The following is a 24,469-nucleotide window of genomic DNA, read 5'->3' as shown; positions in this document are numbered from 1 at the left end:
GAGCCACCGTGCCTGGCCTGATAATGCATGTTTGTTTGTTTGTTTTGAGATGGAGTTTCGCTCTTGTTGCCCAGGCTGGAGTGCAATGGTACGATCTTGGCTCACTGCAACCTCTGCCTCCCGGGTCCAAGTGATTCTCCTGCCTCAGCCTCCCGAGTATCTAGGATTACAGGCATGCGCCACCATGTCCCGCTAAGTTTGTATTTTTAGTAGAGACGGGGTTTCTCCATGTTGGTCAGGCTGGTCTCGACCTCCCCACCTCAGGTGATCTGCCTACCTCGGCCTCCCAAAGTGCTGGGATTACAGGCATGAGCCACTGTGCCTGGCCTGGGAATGCATATTTTTAAGGGTTAACTTTTAGAAAGTGTGCTTGCTGGGTGAGGTAGTTGTACTTGTTTTCACACATAGTCTCTCTTGGGAAATTTTTTCAAATATGGAAAACTGAGAGTTGGGAATCTATTATTTTAGGAAGGAAGAGCATTGAATAAGCAGTGAAGAAAGCTGATTTGCTAAGAAACCTGGGCAAACATCTACTTAACTATAAAATACTACAGTTGAGTTTGAATCCCTTCAGCTATAAATTTGAATTAGTATTCTGTGCTATGTGTTGCTATCATATCTATATGATGCTGTTTTCCAAAAGGATTTAAAATACCAAACATTCACGTAGGGGGAAGAAAAATCCTTTCCCAAAGGAAAACTGTGGATAGTAAGAGACTTATGAAGGTATTTTTTTTTTTTTTTTTTTTTTGAGATGGAGTCTTACTCTGTCGCCCAGGCTGGAGTGCAGTGGTGCAATCTCGGCTCACTGTGAGCTCCACCTCCTGGGTTCACGCCATTCTCCTGCCTCACCCTCCTGAGTAGCTGGGACTACAGGCGCCTGCCACCACGCCTGGCTATTTTTTTGTATTTTTAGTAGAGACGGGGTTTCACCGTGTTATCCAGGATGGTCTCGATCTCCTGACCTTGTGATCCGCCTGCCTTGGCCTCCCAAAGTGCTGGGATTACAGGCGTGAGCCACCACGCCCGGCCTTATGAAGGTATTTAACCAAATTCCTTCTCATCGTCATTGCCTCTGTGTTACCAGTTTTTCTTTCAATCCTCTGCTGATTTGCTTGAGTTTTATCTTTATTGCCACCCTCAGAGGGTAGTGCTCCAATTATTCACAGTATTTTTGACCTCCATATATTTAAGAAATTGCCTCGTTGGATCCCAGGTAAGCAGGGTTCATAAACAAACATAGACAATTTAAGCTTCTTTCTAAAGAGGAAATGAGCAGGCAGCGTGTGTTGGGAAATCCTTTTGTCAATGCACCAGGTGTTGGCTGCTTTTCTCCGACAGCAGCCAAAACCCAGACCCTCAGGAAACAGAGGCCAGGAAATCCCTCTCCCTATCAACCCAGAGGGTGGCGCTTCCAGCCCGTGGCTGTGAGCATGGGGCTCTTCTCAATCTTTTCACCTTTGGCATTTTACATAGCAGTTGGCTGCCATCTTTCCCCATGTGATAATTGTCTAGGAAAAGATTGTATGTTTGCGACCAACCTCCATGTATCAGGACATCACTAAGGACATATGTTTTGTTCTCTTCAACTCTGATGCACAAGCTATAAAGTACTTTGTCATTACCTAATAGGATCAGACATAGGAATATTTAATGGCACTTATAAACATGGTTCTTAACTTTCTTTAGAGTCCTTGGAGAATGTGGCAAAATCAATGCATCCTTTCTTCAGAAAAAAATGTACATTTACGCTTACGTGCAAAATTCTGTGTATAATTTTAAGGGACTTTCAGACAGCTACTGACTTCATTATATTTTGTAAAGATTATTCTTTTTTTAAAGATTATTCTTTATATAAGCATATTGACATATGTATAATGTGTATATATATTGAATTTCCTGTTATGAATGTTTATTATGTGTCTGTCCTTTTAAAATATTGTTTTTTTCAAGCTTTCAGTGGTATAGAGAAAACTGTTATGACAAAATGTGAACTGTATGTTATCCAAGAGCATTTTTTTCTTTATAAGTTGCCTTTCATAATGGACAAAGTACAAAAAACTACTTCTGAAGGGGAAGAGGATGGAGCTAGTATGTATTGAGCACCTACTGTCTGCCAGGCACCACACGGGGTACCTTACATATGAGATCTCACTACATCTCAACAATGATTCTGTGACTGTGGAATTGTTTCCATGTAACAGATGTGGGACTGAAGCTCAGGAATATTAAGTCAGTCGTTTTGATTCAGTCACACTCTAGAACCCACTCTCTTTGGTATTCTGTAGTTTGCAAAGATAACACAAAACTTCTTGCTCTAAAATACTGGGCTTTAGAAAAGAAGAGAGCCCCCTGGGAGTCCTGGTGGCCTGAGAGGCAGGGAAGAGTCAGTGAGTGGAGGAAGAGCATGAATGAATTTTCCCGAGGGCAGGAGAGGCAGTTGTGTGTCCCTGGGGTTGTCTTGCATGGGATCACCAATGCCTGCATGAAGACAGGAAGATGGGATTAGAAGACTTGGCCTCCCTCAAATCGGAGCAGCTGCTCCAGCTCACCATAGAAGTGGGCAAGAAGGAGAGAACACGAAGGAGGAAAGAGACATGGGTTCTCATTAGACAAGTGGGTCAGATTCTTCCTCTTTTTTGTTCTGCACCAATGTCTTTCCTTGCGGTCTTCATTAACCTGTGACTCTGATGACCCTGCGGGTGACACTCATTTTTGTGCTTAGGAAATATCTGTGGCGGTAAGCAGGGTGAGCCCCCATTCACAGCAAGGAAAAACGGAGTCATGTTCTTCTGCTCTGGGATTTTGGTCAGTAACGGTGGAACAGCCCATATGAACCTACTTAACAGATTTTTTTCCCCCTTAATAAAAAGATGATTCTATTTTCTAGAGATGCTCCTCTGGAATTGCTCCCAGTAAACTTAAAAAAAAAGTAGTGAAAAATTTATTGGGTCACATTTACTGTCTGCTTCTTCCTGGGTGGTGGTTGGCCTCAGGAACCAGGCTCCTTGGTGAGTAACCAAACTGAGAATCAACCCATTCTTTGGGTGTGTAAAATAATCCCATTTAGTTGAATCTCATGAATTTTCATCATGAGCTAGTAAAACCAGAGGTCACTAGGAAGCCAAAATAATCATACAGTATCCTTCCTCATGGTCCATATCAAAGAGCCTAGTCGAGTGAATGATGGACAGAGAAATTATACTTTCTAATCCCCAGTGCTTTTACTCAGCCATGAATGGTATTAATTCAGGGAGCTTGTAAAAAGCATTTTCACGAGATTGGAAGCAAGACTAAGTAGGTACATGCTGGCAGCATAAAGAGAGTCTAATCTAATTATTGTAGAATCTTAGAGATAATCTAAGTGCTGCCTAATTGCATACAACACATTTTATTGACACTTTTCTATGTGTAAGGCACACAGACCATGTGTAAGCTACATGCCTATTTTCTATGGGCAAAAACCGGAATCACCCAGAGGGCTCGTTAAAACACAAATGGCGGAGTCCCATCCCCAGAGTTTCTGACTCCGAGTTTCTGGGGTGGGCCTGAGAATTGGCATTTCTAGCAAGTTCCCAGGAGCTGCTGATGCTGCTGGTTCAAGATCACACTGTGAGAACTGCTCTACACCCTCGTGGGGGGGATTATTCCAGGGTTCACTTGAGCCCTTCTAATGGGATGGGTTGTGAAGGCGGCCGATCCCAACAGGACAGCTTTCTTAGGGTTCACCGACACTGCGCTGAAAAGTGCCTCCCGGAAACTCTCTCCCTGGTCCTAATTCTGCCGGCTGGAATTGCTCTGGACACACCTAATCCTCATTTAATAAATGCCCATGCACATTCATCCTAAGGAGAAGGACAGAGAGGGGTCTGTTTGGCAAATAACATTGTTATGTTCCATGCCGGGGAATGCCTGTTTAATCTACTTTGCTAACAATAAATTTAAATGTTAATAACTGGGGTGTACATACACCATAAACGGTACAAATGTCATGTGTACAGCTTGATAAAATTTTACATAGGTATACCCTCATTCAACTGCCTTCCACCTCAAGACATGGAATATTTTCACCCTTCCTCAAAATTACCACGTGCTCTTTCCTGGTCCTGAGCAGGCCTTCAAAGGTCAGCAGTGTTCTACTCCAGTTGCCATGGGTATTTCATGCTCCTCTTGAACTTTATGCAGATGGAAGCAGAGAGAACATGCGCTTTTGTATCTGATATTTTCACTCAAGAAGACTGTGAGGTTCAACCATGTTCTAAATAGCAATATTAGTTCTTTTGTTTTTATTGCCTTGTGGTATCCCAAGTTTGACTTGTGTTTATAGTTGTATATGTAATTGCTCCTTCTATTTTTTTTTTTGCGGGGGTAGGGGGTGGTGGGATGGAATTTTGCTCTTGTTGCCCAGGCTGGAGTCCAATGGCACTATCTCAGCTCACTGCAACCTCCGCCTCCCTGGTTCAAGCGATATTCTCCTGCCTCAGCCTCCTGAGTAGCTGGGATTACAGCCACCACACCCACCTAATTTTTTGTATTTTTAGTAGAGACGAGGTTTCTCCATGTTGGCCAGGCTGATCTCAAACTCCTGACCTCAGGTGATCCACCCGCCTCAGCCTCCCAAAGTGCTGGGATTACAGGCGTGAGCCACCGGGCCTGGCCCCTCCTTCTATTTTATATAGTTAAGGTTGGAAATTGATATGGTTTGGCTCTGTGTCCCCACGGAAATAGCATTTCGAATTGTAATCCCCATGTGTCGGAGGAGTGGCCTGGTGGGAGGTGATTGGACCATGGAGGTGAATTTCCCCCTTGCTGTTCTCGTGATAGTGAGTGAGTTCTCACGAGATCTCATGGTTTAAAAGTCCGGCGCTTCCCAGTTCTGTCTCTCGCTCCTGCCGCCTTGTAGACGTGTTCGCTTTGCGTTTGCCTTCTGCGTGATTGTAAGTTTCCCGAGGCTTCCCCAGCCATGCGGAACTGTGAGTCAATTAAACCTCTTTTCTGTATAAACTACCCAGTCTCAGGTACTTCTTGATAACAGTGTGAAAATGGACTGATACAGTAATGATATAAGCTAGCATGACTGCTGACTGTGAACTGGAAAATGGTGCTAAGTACGTGACATCACTTGATCTTTTCAATACTGTGAGATTGGTACTATCATTAATCCATTTTACAGATGAGATAACCAAGGCCGAGTAACTTGCTCAAAGTCTCACAGCTGTTAAGAAGTGAAACCAATATTTGAATGCAGGTTTCTGACCATGATCGTGCGTTCTTAGCTGATATATTATGATGCCTGTCACTCTGGGTGCTTTAACAATGACCACCAATGAGAGATTGACCCTGGACAGCATGCAGTTTCCTTTAATTTCAAGGACTTTTCCTTTTTCAGCACCCGTTTCTTTGTCCTGTCTAATGGGTCTAAGGCATCTTCAACCATGCTGGTAGTGACCTGGGCTGTGCCACCTGTCCATGCACTGTCTGGATTTTCCCAACTCCTTCAGATGAGCAGATCTGTGGACTCGTGTTCTCTCTTATGTAACTGTCTCCCTACAAAAATAACCTTTTCTCTTTGCTGGCTCTCTGATCACTTCCAAAATCCCTGTCCTTGATAAGTGCAAATAATAGAAGAATCTGTTCTACCTTGTGGTTCCTGTTAAGGTTACACCTAAATTGTCTCTGAAAAATAATTGCCTATTTTGTTAAAGGAAATGTTTAAACTTCCTTTGACTTGTGTGTCTAATAAACCCTCAGCAGAAGGAAGTTTATTTTTAAATACAAATTACTGTGGCCACTTAACGCCTCATTTCCTTTTTCATTCTGCTAATTGGAGATGGGAAATGGCTGGTCAGCCTATTTCATGCTATCAACTTGAGTACATTTAAAAAGATAATCAGAGGCTTTGCAGCAGTTTTAAGTCTGGCTTTGATTCAATATCTGGATAAAAAGCCTCCACATGCCCTTATGATTAAGAATTCTTGTTTATGTTTTCATGTTCTCCAGGGTGCATGCAGACCTCATCTTTTGGGGTTTTATTGCTAAGTACATAGATATGGTGTTGTTTGGGTTTATAAACGTGAGTAGTTTGCTAAATAATTCTCTGTGTTCTAACAGGAAATGAAGGTCAGGACTAAAAGATGGGATGCTCTTTGCTTAATCTGTCATCACACTAGGTTTTCATAAATTACATAATATCCATTTATCTGTTTATCTTTCTGTAATTCTAATTTATATCCTAAATTTCATGTGAAAAAGCTTTGAGAATTTTTTTTTTTTTAATGAGCCGTAAGCCGGGCATGGTGGCTCACGCCTGTACTCCTAGAACTTTGGGAGTCCGAGGCAGGAGGATGGCTTGAGCCTAGGAGTTCAAGACCAGTCTGAGCAACATAGCAAGACCCTGTCTCTACAAAAAACAACAACAAAAAATGATCCAGGTATGCTGGTGTGTGCCTGTAGTCCCAGCTACTTGGCAGGCTGAGGTGAGAGAATCACTTGAGTCCAAAAGTGAGCTGTGATTGCACCATTGCGCTCTGGGTGACAGATTGAGACGCTGTCTCAAAAAAAAAAAGGAATACAGAAAAAGAGAAATCCCATAGGACAAATGACCAGCGATTTATCACATATATGCAGCATCACAAAAGAGGTGGAGGCAGACACTGGAGATTAAAAGAAGCAAGAAATAAAAATGGAATGTGATTGGGGACTCTTCTAATCTTCATTCAAGCAAATCAACCATACCAAGACCCTTTCTTTAGGGAATCAGATAAATTTAAATACAAACTGAGAATTAGATAATAATAGGGCATTGAGCATTAATTTTGTTACTTGTGATAATGGTTTTGTGGTTATGTTAGTAAAAGAGTTCTTACAGGTAAAGACATACTGGAGTATTTATGGATGAAATATGGTGTCTGGAATTTGTTTTAAAATGCTCTAGGAAAAAATGGGGAATAGATAAAAACATACAAAAGGTTGGTAACATGCTGATGTTTGTTAAAGTTGGGTGATGGGTACAGGGGTTCATTTTACTATTCTCTCTACTTTTGTGTGTTTTAAAAATGTTCATAAGAAAAGGTTCAAAAAGAGGCATAAGAGGAAACTATATGATGACATAACTCTCGCATTGTGATATATGAGTACAGTCTTAGAAGTTCCTGTGAAATACAAGCCTGTAATAAAATGAAATCTAAAACTCTGTGTCTGCCAAACAGTTTTTATTTCTTTTTGGAAAAATATATATTAAGTTATTAATTATGTTTCTATCTTGTTTGCAGATGATTCTGGGCCTCCCCCATCTACTGTCATTAACCAAAATGAAACATTTGCCAACATAATTTTTAAACCTACTGTAGTACAACAAGCCAGGATTGCCCAGAATGGAATTTTGGGAGACTTTATCATTAGATATGACGTCAATAGAGAACAGAGCATTGGGGACATCCAGGTAATAGGATCGTCGTTGCTATTTCATGTTGGTTGGTTGGTACTTTGGACAGACTCATACTGTGGATCCCAATATTTACCTAAGGGAGAGAGAACTTTCTGCTTCTTAGTAAATTTGTTTTAATCCAAAGTATTTCTTCAAAGAGACTAGCGGTATTTTTTTGCTGAGGGAACCTATTTCCAGCTTCAGTAATCTGCAGCGCAAGTGAAATCTGTAATATAAAGCTCCCTGTGGTGTTTTAGATGAAATTAGAATTTTAGTTCATGCTCCATTTTATTTTATTTTTGAGACCAAATCTCACTCTGTCACCCAGGCTGGAGTGCAGTGGCCGATCTCGGCTCACTGCAACCTTCGTCTCCCAGGTTCAAGCAATTCTCCTGCCTCAGCCTCCCGAGTAGCTGAGATTACAGGCACCCACCACCACGCCCCACTAATTTTTGTATTTTTAGTAGAGATGGGGTTTTGCCATGGTGGTCAGCCTGGTCTCGAACTCCTGACCTCAGGTGATCTGACCCCCTCAGCCTCCCAAAGCACTGGGATTACCGGCCTGAGCCACCGCGCTTGGTCCATGTTCCATTTTAATTAAAAGAGGCTGCTCATTTCCCTTTAGGTCTTATTGTTCCAGAGACAGGGTGGGGATATTAAAACCTATTAATTGCATCCAGAATGTAGAGAATCTTGATGTCTCAACTTGTAAGATGCTTGGTAAAAAAAACATAATGAAGGAAGCAGAATTCTCAAGTAGCAAAAGTCCAAGGGATGGATAATTAAACTTGAACTGGTAGTCATCACTGATCAATTTTAAAGGGAAGAGTCTACCCTTATACAGATTAAATGAGCAATTAGTTCTCTTGGAGGGATCAGGGCCTTAGATAATTTTACTCCGGGTGTGGAATCTCACCCTAAACTCTTTGTCATGCTTTAACTTTTAGAAATTCCATAGACTACCCACTTCAGGTATTTTTGCTCCCCGCTCTAGGTACTACCGTTTTTACTTTCTTTTCCCTCCACCAGGTTCTAAATGGCTATTTTGTGCACTACTTTGCTCCTAAAGACCTTCCTCCTTTACCCAAGAATGTGGTATTCGTGCTTGACAGCAGTGCTTCTATGGTGGGAACCAAACTCCGGCAGGTGAGTGAGTGCCAACCGCCCATTTATTCCTCTCTCGCTTTTGCCTGGGACAATGACTTGCTTTGCGAATAAAGTTCGGTAGATGCCAAACGTCAGCTTTACCATCCAGCGATTCCTGCCTATGGAAAGCCTTCTTGAGCGGATTCAGTTAAGTCATTTGACATAAACTGTATTTCAGCGTGGTGGTTTTAAGAGAGCAGAGGGACGTGCTGTAGAAACCCCTTGAAATAAACAGCACTGGCAGAGTGGATAATGTAAGTGAGACAGGAATCCATCGACAGGGCCAGTCCTCAGCACTATCATTGATGGAGTAATTCTGTTCAGCGATGATTCCTTTGAGAACAGTGGAATAGAATCATTGGAAGCCTCCTTAGAATAAAGAACTCAGGTCACAGTAAGTCAGGACTGATGTCACAAAATTTAGGATGAATCTTAAAATTCCAGGGTGGTGGGGAGACATTCAGGGGTCACGTAGTTTATGTCGAAAAATTAGATTCCTGAAAATATGACTATTTATGCTTTTCTTACAAACCACTGGAAAAGACTTTCTTATCTTATTCTGCTATCATAAATGTCAGAATCTTTCATATACGATACATTTCAAACTCACATAATAGAAAACAGAGCTACTGGCTGCCAGACCAGCTAATATCTTTACATTCTTCAAAAACATGAATCTGTTAGTTTGTCTTCTAAAATTCATTATCTATTTTATTTTATTTATTTTTTTGAGATGGAGTTTTGCTCTTGTTGCCCAGGCTGGAGTGCAATGGCGTGATCTCAGCTCACTGCATGCAACCTCTGCCTTCTGGGTTCAAGAGATTCTCCTGCCTCAGCCTCCTGAGTAGCTGGGATTACAGGCATACTCCACCACACCTGGCTAATTTTTGTATTTTTAGTAGAGACAGGGTTTCATCATGTTGGCCAGGCTGGTCTGGAACTCCTGACCTTAGGTATCCACCTGTCTCGGCCTCCCAAAGTGCTGGGATTACAGACATCAGCCACCATGCCCGGCCTTTTTCATTTTTTTATACAATTCACAATGCATTTGTGATTTAATGAGTGAGATACTATCTCAAATCTCATAGAAACTCTCTGTCCAACCTGCGTCCACCTCCAGGTCCTGCCTCACACGCAGTTGAACCTACTCCTAGCTGATAAACTGTTGCAACTATTTTTTCTCAATCTCAATCTACTACTTTATAAATGGCTTCTTTGGCCATTTATATTTTAAAAATCTGGCAGTGAAATCTGTATCTTCATGGCTTTCATGGTTTTCCATGGCTTTCTGGTTTTTCATGGCATCTGGTTTTCCTACACTCCAATAGAGCAAAAACATATTTCAAAATATGAAGTGAGACTAGGGTTTAACTATTGTCTTTCAGAGCCGGGGTATCCAGTCTTTTGGCTTCCCTGGGCCACACTGGTAGAAGAAGAATTGTCTTGAGCCATGCATAAAATACACTCACACTAACAATACTAATGAGCTAAAAAAAAAATCACGCAAAAAAATCTCACGATGTTTTAAGAAAGTTTATGAAATTGTGTTGGGCTGCATTCAAAGCTGACCTGAGCTGCATGTGGCCTGTGGGCCAGGGGTTGGACAAGCTTGTTTTAGAGGATAGCCAAATATAATGTCGAACTAATGTAGGGGGAAAATAACCTTGCTCTGTGAATCAGCTTTTAGTGGTTCTTTAACATCACGTGCTCGTCCAGAGCGCAACCTGCCAACTGCTCCATTTTTGACTTTTTCTTCCTTCTGCTTTCTTGACTTTCCATCTGGGTTCCTTTTCTTTTGCATGAGGAACATCATCCATGAGCGTATTTTTAAAAATAATTCTCTGTCTTTGTCTGAAAATGATTTATTTTACTTTTATCCTTTAAGGATAGTTTTTACTAGGTATGGTATTCTACACTGGCAGTCATCGAATGATGAACATAATATTTGAAAATCTGTTTGTAGAAATAGTTTGAGGCCTAAGATAATGGTCTGTTCCTCTAGAGAAGGTTTGGGCTTGTTTCTGTCAGATCTCTGGGGGAATAAAAATCTGGGATTACTTTAGTCCATTTTCAGGGATGGAGGTGTTTGGGCAGCCCAAATGGCACGAAGCTGGACTGCAGAACTCTTAGGAGCTGGCATATTTCTGCTTTGCACACAGTGTAGATTTGCCAGAGCACCCCTAAGCTACAGAGGGGATGTGCGGCCTCTCAGGTGTCTCTTCGGTCTTGACAAACATCCTTGAGACACAAGTGGTCCCAAATGCTGAGCTCACCTCTTAAAATTTGCATCTTCTCTCAGATTTTTTTTCTCACTGTTTTGTTTGCTTTCTGCTACTTTAAAGATTTTTTTAAAACCCCATTTGTTTAGCTTTTTTAGTTCTTACTGGGAAGCTAAAGAAAATATTTAAGTTCTTTTTCAAATCTCCTCTGTGATGTTTTAGGATTTTCCGTTTTTTACAGTTTTTAATCTTTTATATTTTCTCAAGCACAGTAAACATGTACTTGTCTGTGTCTGCGAAATCCAAACTTTGGAGTCCCTTAGGGCTCAAGTTACTTGTAGGTTTCCCAAAGTTTTTCCCAAAGTTTTTGTTACACCAAAGTGAAGCTTTCTCTTATAGTGGCTGATATTTATTGATGTTTTAGAGGCCACATAGCCTTTCCTTATTTACCAAATACCTTGTGAAGTTCTTCGCATTATGGGCTACAAGTTCTTTTTTTTTTTTTTTTTTTTTTTTTGAGACGAAGTCTCACTCTGTCACCTGGGCTGGAGTGCAATGGCATGATCTCGGCTCACTGCAGCCTCTGCCTCCTGGGTTCAAGCAACTCTCCTGCCTCAGTTCCCCCAAGTAGCTGAGATTACAGGTGCTCGCCACCATGCCCAGCTAATTTTTGTATTTTTAGTAGAGGTGGGATTTCACCATGTTGGCCAGGCTGGTCTCGAACTCCTAACCTCAGGTAATCTGCCCACCTCAGCTTTCCAAAGTGCTGGGATTACAGGCATGAGCCACCGCGCCCGGCCCTGTGTACTACAAGTTCTTAAATGCCATTCGTTGACCAAGTTGTTTTGTGACATTGATGGCTGCATGATCGATGCTGACAGAAGAATAACCATGGCTTCTTTTAAGACCACTGTGGATCACAGAATACCGTGTTAATTAGGCTTACATACGATCAGTATGATAATTGCCATTTGGATTTTGAATCACTTAACAGTTACTGAGAGGGTACCATGGGCTGGGTTTCCTCAGGCATCTCATTTAATTCCTAGGTACCTATGAATCTTCAGATGTTCTTTCTTTTCCTTTCTAAAAAAAAAAAAAAAACACAGCTTTTTTGTGGGGGCAGGGTTTGTATTTCCTCTGAACAAACATAACTTGCTGAAGATATTTATGATTAAATTAACTGCAACCAGTCTGAATTCCTGTGACTACCGAATAGTTTGTCTTCTGATGTTTTTATTCACCCCCATATTATGAATATATCTTATGGCATTAAATATTCTTTAAAAACCTGATTCTAATGGCCATAGAGCAACACTGTTCACTAGAAGCTTCTATGAGAATGGGAATGTTCTACACCTGTGCTGTCCAATACAATAGCCACTAGTCACATATGGGTGTTGAGCAAGTGAAGTATGGCTAATGGAAGTGAGGAACTGAATTTTTAATTTTAATAAATTTAAATTTGCATAGTTAATATATGGCTAATAGTAACCATATGGGAGCGTGTAGCTGCAGAACATTTATTCACCCTACCACCCATTAGAGACTTTTCAGCCATTTCCATTTTTTGTGATAATAAACCCCATCGGGATGACTGTCTTCATGTAGAAATGCCTGACGCATGCCCTGTCATTTTCTTAAATTAGATTCTTAGAATTGGAATTACTGGGGCAAAGAGTACCAATTCATTTGTGGGTTTGGTACACATTCCAAAAACATTTTCTAAAAAGTCTGTGCCAATTTATAACATTTAAAACTGTTACTAGGCTAAGATTTCCAAATGGGTTAAGAGGCTTAAGGTAATCAATGAACCACACCCCAAAATATGTAAAAAAAAAAAAAAAAATTGCAGGTGGATATTTAACTGATTTTCAAGTGGGAAGAAACTTTCTAAGCCTAAAAGCAGTATAATCACTTTTAAGCCTAAAAGTAATTACAAAGGGGAAAATCGGTAACTTTAGCTACATAAAAATTTTAAATTTTTGTTGTAAACAAAAAAAAGTAAACAAAACACTAGAAAATTGCATGCAGGAAAAAGAAGTAAGTGTATCATTAATATGTAAAGAACTGTTCCAGATTAATGAAAATTAATCCTATATAAGAAAATGAGCAAAGGATATAAAACAAGCTACTAGAAAGAAATAAGATGATTTGATAAAATTATGAAAAAACCATCAAGCATATTAGTAATTAAAGAAATGCATCTCAGGTGCCAGAGCACTTCAGGGTTTAACCTCAAACCTAGTCCAATCCAGTGCCCCAGGGTTGTCTTCCACTTCCTGTGGGAGAATGATCAAGAATCTTCTTGCCAAATAACCCTCAGAAAAATAAACCCTGCCCCAAATTATCCAGAGAAAAACTAATGAACTAAATTAGGGTCTCCTAAATGTACCTTTAATCATAAAATAATTCGGGCACTTCTTAAAAATATGGCATGGGCCATTTCCAAAATAGCTAAGAGTATTATGTGAATGATTTAATGCAAGAATCTTTAATCTTTAAAATAATTTAGTTGTCATCCCCATTTTACTGATGGAGAAACTGAGGCTTTGCAAAGGTAGATAAGTTGGCTAATAAATGGTGGTGGCAGCCTTTACTCCCAGGTCTGAAGTCTGAGAACTAAGCCATGTACCGTGCAAGTAAGAGTGTGGTTGCGGCAAGAAGGCACACATGTATGCAGCTGGCAGAAGTGCAAATGGATACAAGGTCAAGGCAGTCTTACATTTGAAGACCCAACTGAGAAGGCTGCATTGCAGAAGGCAGGGATTTCCTCGCATGATGCAAGAGCAATGTAATAACAGATGTCAGATCATTTGTTATTCTCCCCTCTTCCTTCATTCCTGGATATTAAAATTCCATTCCTTGCTAGCCACTGAAAGTCTGGCATGCACTCTGCTGGCTTCGAAGCTTCAGCATGGCCTCTTTCCAGGAGAGCCACCCTAGACCAGCCAAACACATGTCTGAGCAATTTTGAAAGCCCCTCGCTGCCTTGAGTGGTTTTGAAATCTGCGGACTATTTTTGCAGTTCTCAGCATCTCCAAGGCCACAGTACTAAGTGAAAAGCTTAGCTGGCTCTTTGAAGAGTCTTGTATATGATGTTATGTCTATTGGTGAAGAGGACAATTATCCCAAGCAAAGGGCTTTTCATATTGTGTCAACAGGCTTGGCAATGTGGGACATTTGTCATGCATCCACATGGATTCTATTAAGAATCATTCACTGTTATTCCCAATGTTCTTGGCTCCCCTCGTCTTTGACGGGCCTGAAAGACCTTGCTGCATTTATTGCAATGTAGGACACATAGTTGGCATTTAATAATTACTTGAACTATTGATTTAGAAAAAGCTGTAAAGACCATTCAACCTTAAAAAAATATTCTCGGTAAGGGGTATATTGGCACCTGGGGAGCCCCCAAAGCTGTGTGCCTCTGGCATTTTCTGGTTCTTGTCCTAATCCCAGTGGGAACATGATCCTGGAAGCCAGGACCTGCCTGGCTTGGGAACAGCAACAGAGCTGCCTGAGGTTTGCTGGCACGTGGCTTTGCTGTTTTCCCTCCCGTGTGCTTTTGCAGATGAGTTTGTTGAGAGATGGCTGTGGTGTTGGGTCAGGCAGGGTTTCTACCTCCCAGTTTGAGCTAAAACTTCTTGGTGAGAATGGGAGCTGAGAAGAGCCAAAAAAAAAAAAAAAAAAGAAAAAAGAAAAAAAAGAAAGGGAGGGGGGAGAAAAATGTAATCAGGGAAGGCTTCTTTTTTTTGTTGTTAGTTGCATGCTTAAAGCATTGACATTTGCAGACAGACATGTAGTCCTTGGGAGGATTAAGAATATGCTTTTCCTTGACCATGGTGTCCACTTTCTTGTCTTTCCTTTCCCTGATCTATAGAATTAGATCTACTACTTTCACATTCATATTAAAGAACTTGGCTAAGGGACCCTCTTTGGCAACCAAGCAGTGACGAATGGATCACTTACCAGATGTTTTCCATGCTTTAATGGTCTTCAAACCTGTTCCCACACTCTGTGTCCCTCTGTGCCAATTCTGGGTTCCCACGTAGCCTTTGAAGCTTGTCTTCCTTTCTCCATTTTATTTAGTTGACAAATTTAGAGGGTAAAGAACAAGCATGTTTCTTATCTGTAATTGTCAAGTTAAAATGAGGGCAAACGTGAATTAGTCAAGTTAAAATGAGGGCAAACGTGAATTAACGAGTAGGAGGACTGGGATCTGCATGTCGATTTTGGTTCACTCACAGGCTTACTTTATGCTCTAGGACATTGGTTTCTCCCTCGCTGTCCAAAATTGGGTTCCCAAGGGCTATTTGGATATTTCATGTGTAACCTTACAGGTGAGTAATTTGTAAGCTCCATGGACTTGGGGAACATCTTGTGTTTGATCATTACAATATGCATTCCCAACTCTTCACAGACAGTGGGTAATGACATTTGCTGCCAAACTACCAGCCCACAAACAATAAATGTATCCTGCATTTTTCTGAGGCACAGTAGTTACCATTGAGTGATCAGTGCGTATCAAGTGCTGTGAGGGTTTTACGTACATTTCTTCATTTAATCTTTCAGCCATCCAGTGAAGTAAACATTGCTCTCCCTATTTTATGCATGGGAAGGTGGAGACCAGGAAAATGATGTAATTATGCTGAAATACACAAAGTTATAAGTAGGAAAGTTAGGATTCAAGCCCAGGTCAGCCTTACCTAAACCACTTCTCTGTAACGTCACATATGGACCGTAACACAGTGGTGGTCTGTAGACCACTTTTCAAGCTTTGAGGCTCTGTTTTTGTCACCAAGTAACGTGAAGGACAGTGCACTCAGGTGAGTGCACACAGATGTCACCTACTCAAAGAGGTGCCAGCCAGCAGGCTAGTATTGTGAAAAACTCACGAAGCTGTTCTGCTTTGATTCGTAGAATTATTGAGCAACGTTTTATTATTTAACACTAAGCACTCCTTGGGCGTGTATGGGGAGGCAAACTTCTTTCCCTTTCATGATGTGGATCGGGCAAGTGACATCCGAGTGTGCGTGCAGATGGCAGAAATGTAGACTGAGGCAAAGTGGCTCGGGCAAGCTGGGTGACTGTCAAGTCCAGTGATGTCCAACAGTGTGATATTGTAGCTGCCTTCTTCAGACTATGTGGGTCTGCCACATTTCAAAAGAGAGGATCCAGGCCAGGTATGGTGGCTCATGCCTGTAATCCCAGCACTTTGAGAGGCCGAGGTGGGAGGATGGCTTGAGCCCAGGAGTTCGAGACGAGGCTGGGCAGCATAGTGAGACCTCATCTGTACCAAAAAGATAAACAAAATTAGCCAGGCATGATGGCCCACATCTGTAGTCCCAGCTACTTAGGAGGCTGAGGTAGGAGGATGGCTTGAGCCCAGGAGGTCGAGACTGCAGTGAGCTATGATGGCGCCATTGCACTCCAGCCTGGGCAACAGAGCCAGACCTTGTCACAAACAAACAAACAAAAATTAAACGACGGAGATCAAAGAAGGCAGTCAGATTCACCGAGCAGCCTGGAGGAAAGCTCAGCATGAGCTGCGGGACCCAGAGGGCCTCTGAGGGCTTGCCATCTGGTTAGGGGAGAGAAATCCCTGAACAAATGAAGGCGCTCAGAAAGCAGGAGGATGCAAGCTTGCCCAGTGAGTGCATGCCTGAAAGACTGGGGGAAGGGGTCTCAGAAGGCAAGCGCTATGTGGCTATCATGCAAATAAAAATCGACAACAGAGAGCGTCGGGTCCACCTGCTTTGCCTGTTCAGGTCTAGGCCTTGTTTAAGCACCTGAAAGCAAGGCCCCAGGAAATATCAGAAGGAAATATCAGAAGAGTCTAGCTTCCCTTTTTGGCTTTCTGGAGCCAGTGTCATCAAACTTGTTTGTAAAGGGGCAGATGATAAACATCTTAAGTTTTGCAGACAAGATTTTTTTTTTCTTCTTTCGAGACTGAGCTTCGCTCTTGTTGCACAGGCCGGAGTGCAATGGCGCTATCTCAGCTCACTGCAACCTCCGCCTCCTGGGTTCAAGCAATTCTCCTGCCTCAGCCTTCCGAGTAGGCTGGGATTACAGGCATGCGCCGCCACACCTGGCTAATTTTGTATTTTTAGTAGAGATGGGGTTTCACTATGTTGGCCAGGCTGATCTCGAACTCCTGACCTCAGGTGATCCACCTGCCTCAGCCTCCCAGAGTGCTGGGATTACAGGCATGAACCACAGCGCCAGGCTGAAGATTCATTTTTCCAAGTTTCTCCCCTCTCCCCTCCTCTTTCTTTCTGTAGAGACAGGGTCTCACTATGTTACCTATGCTAGTTTTGAACTCCTGGACTCAAGCGATCCTCCCACCTTGGCTTCCAAAGTGTTGGGATTACAGGAATGAGCCACCACGCCCGGCCCCCAGATGGTTTCTGTTGTAACCACTCAACTCTGCTGTTGGATGCAAGATCTGTCCTCCTTGTGACAAGAGCACAGCCACAGGCCATATGCAAAGAAATGGGTGTGATTGTGTTCCAGTAAAAGCTTATTTACTAAAAGCAGGCAGCAGCAGGGCCCCTGAGCCACAGTTTGCTGACACCTGTCTAGAGCAAGGACTCATCAAAATGACCTTGAGTTACATGCCAGTTGATTGTGTTTATTCTCGTCTACTGGGCTGCCCTTGTCAAGACGTTGCTACCAGCAGATGCATGTTTCAGGAAAACATTGCAAAACAGAGATTTGAGACTTGAGGCAGGAAGCAGAAGACAGTGGGGAAAACTGGTTTTTGTCTCTGACTCAGAATATGAGGTAATAAATGATGGACAGAGGGCAAAATATTTTTTCCCTAGGCCATGAGTGAAAGCTTGAATTTTTAGTTTCAAGAAAAAAAATTGCTCTCCAACAATGATAATACAGATAATTTAAAATAAATTAGAGGCACCCATTGAAAAATTTATTGCTGTTGTTGAGGTAGTTAAGATTTACCCGGATGAAGTATATCTTAGAGGTAAAATGAGGTCCTATTTTATTTATTTTTCCTTTAAACTTTTATTTTAGGTTTAAGAGGCACATATACAGGTTTGTTATATGGATAAATTGTGTGTTGAGGGGGTTTGGTGTACAGATTATTTCATCACCCAGCTAATAAGCACAGTACCTGAGAAGTAGTTTTTTGACCCTCACCCTCAAGAGGCCCCAGTGTCTGTTCACTTCTTCGTGTCCATGTGTACTCAATGTTTAGCTCCCACTTATAAGTGAGGGTATACAGTATTTGTTTTTCAGTTCCTGGGTTAATTTGCTTAGGATAATGGCTCCCAGATCCATCCATGTTGCTCCAAAGGACATGATCTTATACTTTTTTATAGCTGCATAGTATTCCATGGTATATTTGTACCACGTTTTCTTTATCGAGTCCACCACTGATGGTCATTTAGGTTGATTCCATGTCTTTGGTCTTGAGAACAGTGCTGCCATAAACATATGCATATGTGTGTCTTTATGGTAGAATGATTTCTATTCCTTTGGGTATATACCCAATAATGGGCTGGCTGGATTGAGTAGGAGCTCCGTTTCCAGTTCTTTGAGAAATCGCCAGACTGCTGTCCACAGTGACTGAAGTAGTTTACATTCCTACCGGCAGTGTATAAGCATTCCCTTTTCTCTGCAACGTTGCCCGCATCTGTTATAAAATGAGGTCATGTTATTGAAATGTGTAGTATCTCTGAATGTGGGCACTCTGTGGCTGTCATACAAAGAGACACTTGTCAGTATAGAGTTTGGGGTGCTCCGGCATCACCTGCTCAGATTGCAGCCTTGCTGTGAGCATCGGAAAGTGTGGCGCCAGGAAATCACAGAAAAGCCTAGTTTCCTCCTTTCTGGTTTCCCAGTTTTTCACTTAAGTCCCAAATTGGAATTGGCAGACTTTTTCTGTAAAGGGCTAGATAGGGGCTGAAACGAAACTTTGCTACAAGTAACAGCAAGATAAACACTACAAGTCAAAGAGAATTAAATGAGAAGTGCTTATCAGTGTCAGAATGCTTTGTTACTCAGGGATTGTGTAGTCTTGGCTGGCTGATTGAAATTGCAACTGGGTAAAATTCCTAAGCGCTGGCATTGCCTGATAGCACAGCCCCCCACTTCTTGGGTTCGGGACACCTGACTGTCACTCAGCTTCCCACTTTGACTTTAACTCTAGACTTCAGATTCTCCAAACATGAAACAATTATGGGTTATAGGCTGTTGGGGGTGGGGTGCTAGGTATGGGGGACACAGAGATAAATGAGACACAGCCTTTCCTCACAAGAAGCTCAGAGAAGAAGAGAAAGTCAGGCAAAAATTATATAGGGAGTGCTCTGTGTAATAGGGCATATGTAAGGGCCAGTAGTTGCGTGATGGGGTGGTAATCAGTTCTTTTTAGTAGTGGGAGAGTAGGGGATGATGAATGATTCTCAGAGGAGGGCGTAGTTGGGTGAGTCTCAAAGGCCTCTTAGAAGTTAATCGAGTGGGTGGCATGAGAAGAGGGGGATTGGATCCAAGCAGAATGAGAGAGATGCGTGACATGTGCAAAGCGTGGAGGCAGGAGAAAGCGTGTCTCTAAAGGCATCAGCCCTAAGTCACTTTCACCGAGAACTTTAGAATTTTGCTGGGGAAAAGAAACAGAATAGACAAAGCCCAGTGGCTCATGCTTGTAATCCCAGCACTTTGGGAGGCCAAGAGGGGCAGATCATCTGAGGTCAGGAGTTCGAGACCAGCCTGGGCAACATGGTGAAATCTCGTTTCTACTAAAAATACAAAAATTGGCTGGGTGTGGTGGTGGGCACCTATCATCCCAGCTACTCAGGAGGCTGAGGCAGGAGAATCGCTTGAACCCGGGAGGCAGAGGTTGCAGTGAGCCATGATCACACCACTGCACTCCAGCCTGGCGACACAGACTCCATTCAAAAAAGAAGAAAAAATGAAACAATCTTACATTATTCAAAACTAACATAGATAGTGGAAAGGATTGTAGGGGAGAGAAATAACTTGAGATAGGGAAAGATTAATGATGGAGATGGAAAAGGAACTGGTTCTTGAAGATGGGATACAATTTTCTTGGCAGGAAAAGAATGAGTGAATTCTTGGTTGGGGAAAACCACGAGGCATGAAAGAAGGCTGAATATGCTATAGTGTGAAGGTTTGGGTCATGTTTTGGACCAGATAACTTGAAAACCTTCCTGATACAAACATTTAGAAAAGGAGATGAATCGAAACACATCTTGCTGGTAAGGAAGACACAATCTAAGAGTCTCAGAATGAAAAGAGGACGGAGAAGGAAAACGCGGAGCGTGTGAGTTAAGTGATATCCCCCAGGAGAGTTACCACTCGCTGGGTCCTCGGGCCTGAGGCTTTCATGACCCTGTGGGAACAGCAGATGAGAGCTTGGGCGCTCTGAGGTGGGGGGTTGAACCTGAGACCCCTGATGAAGCTGGCTCCATCAAAGGACTGCACCCTTAGGGGAGAGTAGGCAGAGGAAACCTCCACCCACTGATGCAGGAAGACAACATAGAAGGTTGCCCAACTCTGTTTGGCTTTGGAGGTTGGGGGGCAAGGGAAGACTTCCCTTATAACCATGGGACCCAAATCAAATAGCCTGGAAGCATGTGAGCAGGTGATTGAATGTACACTACCATGGAATCAAGGAACTCTGATAATCTACCCATCAAGGGCTTCTGGACCAGGGAGAACCTGGAGGTGCCTGGGAAGCTCCTGCAGGGCCGTGGCACCAACTTATGCTGCAGGGGATTCCCCCGGATAAAGCCCCTCTGAGAAGACGCTCACGACACAACAGCACAAAACACACAAGGAGGCAGTCCACGCAGACCAAGGGACAGTCATGCCACACACTTCAAAAATACCCATATCAGGCCGGGCGTGGTGGCTCATGCCTGTAATCCCAGCACTTTGGGAGGCCGAGGAGGGCGGATCACAAGGTCAGGAGATCGGGACCATCCTGGCTAACACAGTGAAACCTCGTCTCTACTAAAAATACAAAAAAATTAGCTGGGCGTGGTGGTGGGGCCTGTAGTCCCAGCTGCTCGGGAGGCTGAGGCAGGAGAATGGTGTGAACCCGGGAGGCGGAGCTTGCAGTGAGCCAAGATCGCGCCACTGCACTCCAGCCTGGACGACAGAGCGAGACTCCATCTGAAAAACAAGCAAACAAAAAACAAAACCGTATCAGCGTTGTTGAGATAGAATTCACAGCCCATAACATCCACCCTTTTAAAGCATACCATTCAGTGGCTTTTAGTATTTTCAGAGAGTTGTGAAACCATCACCACTATCTAATTTTAGGACATCTCATCATCCCCCAAAGAACCCCCACACTGATTAGCAGTCATTGCTTGTTCACCCCTTTTTCTAGCCCTTGACTACTACTAGTCGGCTTCCTGTCTCTGGATTTGCCTATTCCAGACATTTCGTATAAATGGAGTTACACAGTGTGCGGCCTTTTGTGCCTGGCTGCTTTCAGGTAGCATGATACCTCCCAGGTTCAGCCATGTCGTAGTGTGCATCTGCACTTCATTCTTTTTTATTGCTGAATAGTATTTCATTAGATGGATATACCACGCGTTTTTTAGCAGAGATTCTGAGAGCGTGAGGTGAGTTTGAGCTTGCACAGATTTGTGTGCCTCAGCTGCAGCTACACTCAGAGGTGGGATTTAGTTGTTTACGTGATGCTCAGGTGTAGGATTTCTTCAGTGGCTGATGGAAGGAGCCATGCAGCTGGAAGTGCTGTAGGAATGTAATTTGTGGGCCACAGCTGTTGGTAAGACAAATAGGACACGGAAGCTATGAGACACGGGGAGCCTGCATGGAATGAGAGCATGTGCCCCACAAGAAGGAACTTGAGCCAGAGTGGTGACTATGAATGTGGAAGAAGGAAGAACGATGGAGCTGTTATTAAAGAAGAAGTAGTGTGGCTTAGTAATTAGCTGGATAGAGTAAAAAAAAAGATTCTTGAGACTTTGGAACCATGAGTGGAAGTAGGAAACCCTAGAGGAGAAGCTGATTTGAGAGAGAAATATTATATGAGTTTGTTCTCACACTGCTATGAAGAAATACCCGAGACTGAGTAATTTATGAAGGAAAGAGATTTAATGGACTCTCAGTTCCGCATGTCTTGGGAGGCCTCAGGAAACTTACTATCATGGCAGAAGGCAAAGGAGAAGCAGGAACCTTCTTCACAGGGCAGCAGGACAGAGTGAGTGCAAGCAGGGGAAATGCCAGATGCTTAAAAAACCGTCAGATCTTGTGAGACTCACTCATTATCATGAGAACAGCCTGGGGGAAACCGCCTCCATGATTTAGTTACCTCCACCTGCTCCTGCCCTTGACACGTAGGGATTATGGGGATTAAAATTCAAGGTGAGATTCGGGTGGGGACACAGGCAAACCATACCAAATATTATGTATTGAGTTTTCAGCAGATTAAGACTGAAATGGCAGTGAGGTGGTGAAGGTATTCAGATGGAGAGCCTGGAGGTATGGACTTGGGAGACCCCAAAACAGATGTGGTAGTTGAAGAATGGATAAAACTCCTTCAGGGAAGAGGAGAGAGAGAGGGAGGATGAAAGGCCAAAAACTGAGCCTTAGGCCAGGCATGGTGGCTCACACCTGTAATCCCAGCACTTTGGGAGGCTGAGGCAGGCGGATCACCTGAGGTCAGGAGTTCAAGACCAGCCTGGCCAACATGGTGAAACCCTGTCTCTACTAAAAACGTAAAAAATTAGCCCTGCGTGGTGGCACGTACCTGTAGTCCCAGCTGCTCAGGAGGATGAGGCATGGGAATCGCTTGAACGTGGGAGGTAGAGGTTGCAGTGAGCTGAGATTGAGCCACTGCACTCCAGCCTGGGCGACAGAGGGAGACTGCATCTCAAAAACAAAACAAAAACTGAGCCTTAGAGTGTATCAGATTTGGTAGGAGGAAAAGTGGGTGATATGCATGTGATCAACAATTCTACAATCAATGAAGAGAAATTCTGGTGAGGGGATTTAGTACTCTAAGGGTAGCCCTTGTTCTGAGAAAAGCTGCTGCTCAGGGATGGCCGTCGGCCCTGTGTGGTGGCGTTCCCCATCACAGGGTGTTCACATGCATTCCTGGGGCCACCTGGAAGGACCCCCAGAAGCAGGTCATGCAGAGGTTGGCGATATGAGCTGCTTGATGCTGGCTACTGGATACCAGGAGGGAGGTCGATGCTGCTGAGAGTGTTCAGAGTTCCTACGGAGCAGACTTGTGTCATTGAGAGAGAGACAGCCTGGCAAAGCAAAGCCTCAGCTAATCCTCAGTGCAGTAGTGTTTATGATTTAGCAATGGCCTGGCAAACTCTCCTTGAATTTGGCTCTGGAAGATTTGCTTCTGTGAGGACAAAGCAGTCACCCTCCCCAGATATGAACACTTGGCATTTGGCATTCTTGACCTCCAAGAACCCCCCTGGGCTGGCCCTCTCTCTGAATTGGGGTAAAGAAGAGGAAGTTCTCACAGTCACTGTTTTAGACACTGTTCCTTTGATTCTCTGAAATCTCCCACTTTTGCTTAGATGTGGTCATGATGCACATTTCTACAGTTTGCCAAATGACATCAGTTGCTGATGTTTCAAGAAAGATGGATAAGTAAAATTTGTGGGGAGAGGGGAGCCAAATTAAAATTAATAACAATTAAGAGCTCTTTCCCCACTGGTAGCAAAAAATGTTATATTTAGTGGTGCCATAGTCTGTGTCTTAGTCCATTCAGGCCACTATGGACTCATATATGTGCCATAGACTGAGTAGCTTATAAACAACGAAATCTATTTCTCACAGTTCTAGAGGTTGGAAAGTCCAACATCAAGATGCCAACAGACTCTGTGTCTGGGGAGGGCCCACCTTCTGGGTCATAGATGCAAGTTCTCCGCATGTCCTCCCATGGTGGAAGGGAGTAGCTAGCTAGCTCACTGGGGTCTTTCATAAGGGCACTGATCCCAACCATGAGGGCTCTAATTTCATGACCTAATTACCTCCTAAAGTCCCCATCTCCTGGGACCATCACCTTGGGTGTTAGGATTTCAACCTTTGAATTTAGGGGGACCCAAACTGTCCCTTGTGTACCCCTAGGCTTTGCCAAATTCTTAGCTTGAAGAAGGATGTTCTGATTAACCAAATGTAAAGTCAGATAATTAGTGATTTCCCAATCATCTCTTCTAGGTGCACGTGTAACTGGAAAGGGAAGGCAAAGGCCAAGGTAACAAGACAAATATCCAGGAGGAGAGACCGGGCTCATTTCTGGTGGGCTGGGCAGGGCTGGGTTGATGGCAGCAGTGGGCTGAAGGGACCTAGTGCTCAGAGATGTTCAGGAGACAGTTGTGGTCACTTTGAGAATGTGCTAGACTGAAGGAAAATACCTAGAAGAAGACAGAAGCATGTTTCAGGGGACCAGGTGGGAAAATGGGGTTTCAGAGGTCAGATTAAGGCATAGCATTGGAATTATTCTCCCCCTAACATCCTGTCCACTGGCTCAGATTTCTGAGATATGGAGCACATCTGAAACTTCAGCCAACCTACCCCCTTTATGACTGGCTAGAACTTAGTTCTGAGGCCATTTTGCTTTTCTTCCCCAGGTAATTGAGGCAGACAGAGTAGGAAGAGATGTGAGGTTTCTACTTAACCCTCCTTCCCCATAGATCTA

At 43.2% G+C, this 24,469-nt stretch overlaps 1 protein-coding gene across 5 annotated transcripts in view; it reads left to right on the top strand.

Annotated features, from left to right (window-relative positions):
- The window catches only part of ITIH5 (inter-alpha-trypsin inhibitor heavy chain 5), a 107,697-nt gene that overhangs the window by 42,413 nt on the left and 40,815 nt on the right, over nucleotides 1-24,469 (top strand). For 2 of the 5 annotated variants that reach the window (XM_011519713.4, XM_011519714.4), the window contains exons 6-8: nucleotides 7,272-7,441; nucleotides 8,456-8,572; nucleotides 15,060-15,134. In XM_011519713.4, the coding sequence (XP_011518015.1) occupies nucleotides 7,272-7,441; nucleotides 8,456-8,572; nucleotides 15,060-15,134 (362 nt within the window). Of the gene's footprint in view, nucleotides 1-4,880; nucleotides 4,974-7,271; nucleotides 7,442-8,455; nucleotides 8,573-15,059; nucleotides 15,135-24,469 lie in introns of those variants that run through there. The other 3 variants (NM_030569.7, NM_001001851.3, NM_032817.6) reach the window with 2 other exon arrangements.

This window comes from Homo sapiens, chromosome 10, assembly GCF_000001405.40.
Source record: "Homo sapiens chromosome 10, GRCh38.p14 Primary Assembly".
Classification (NCBI taxonomy): domain Eukaryota; kingdom Metazoa; phylum Chordata; class Mammalia; order Primates; family Hominidae; genus Homo; species Homo sapiens.
This window is presented reverse-complemented; position numbering and strand designations above follow the sequence as displayed.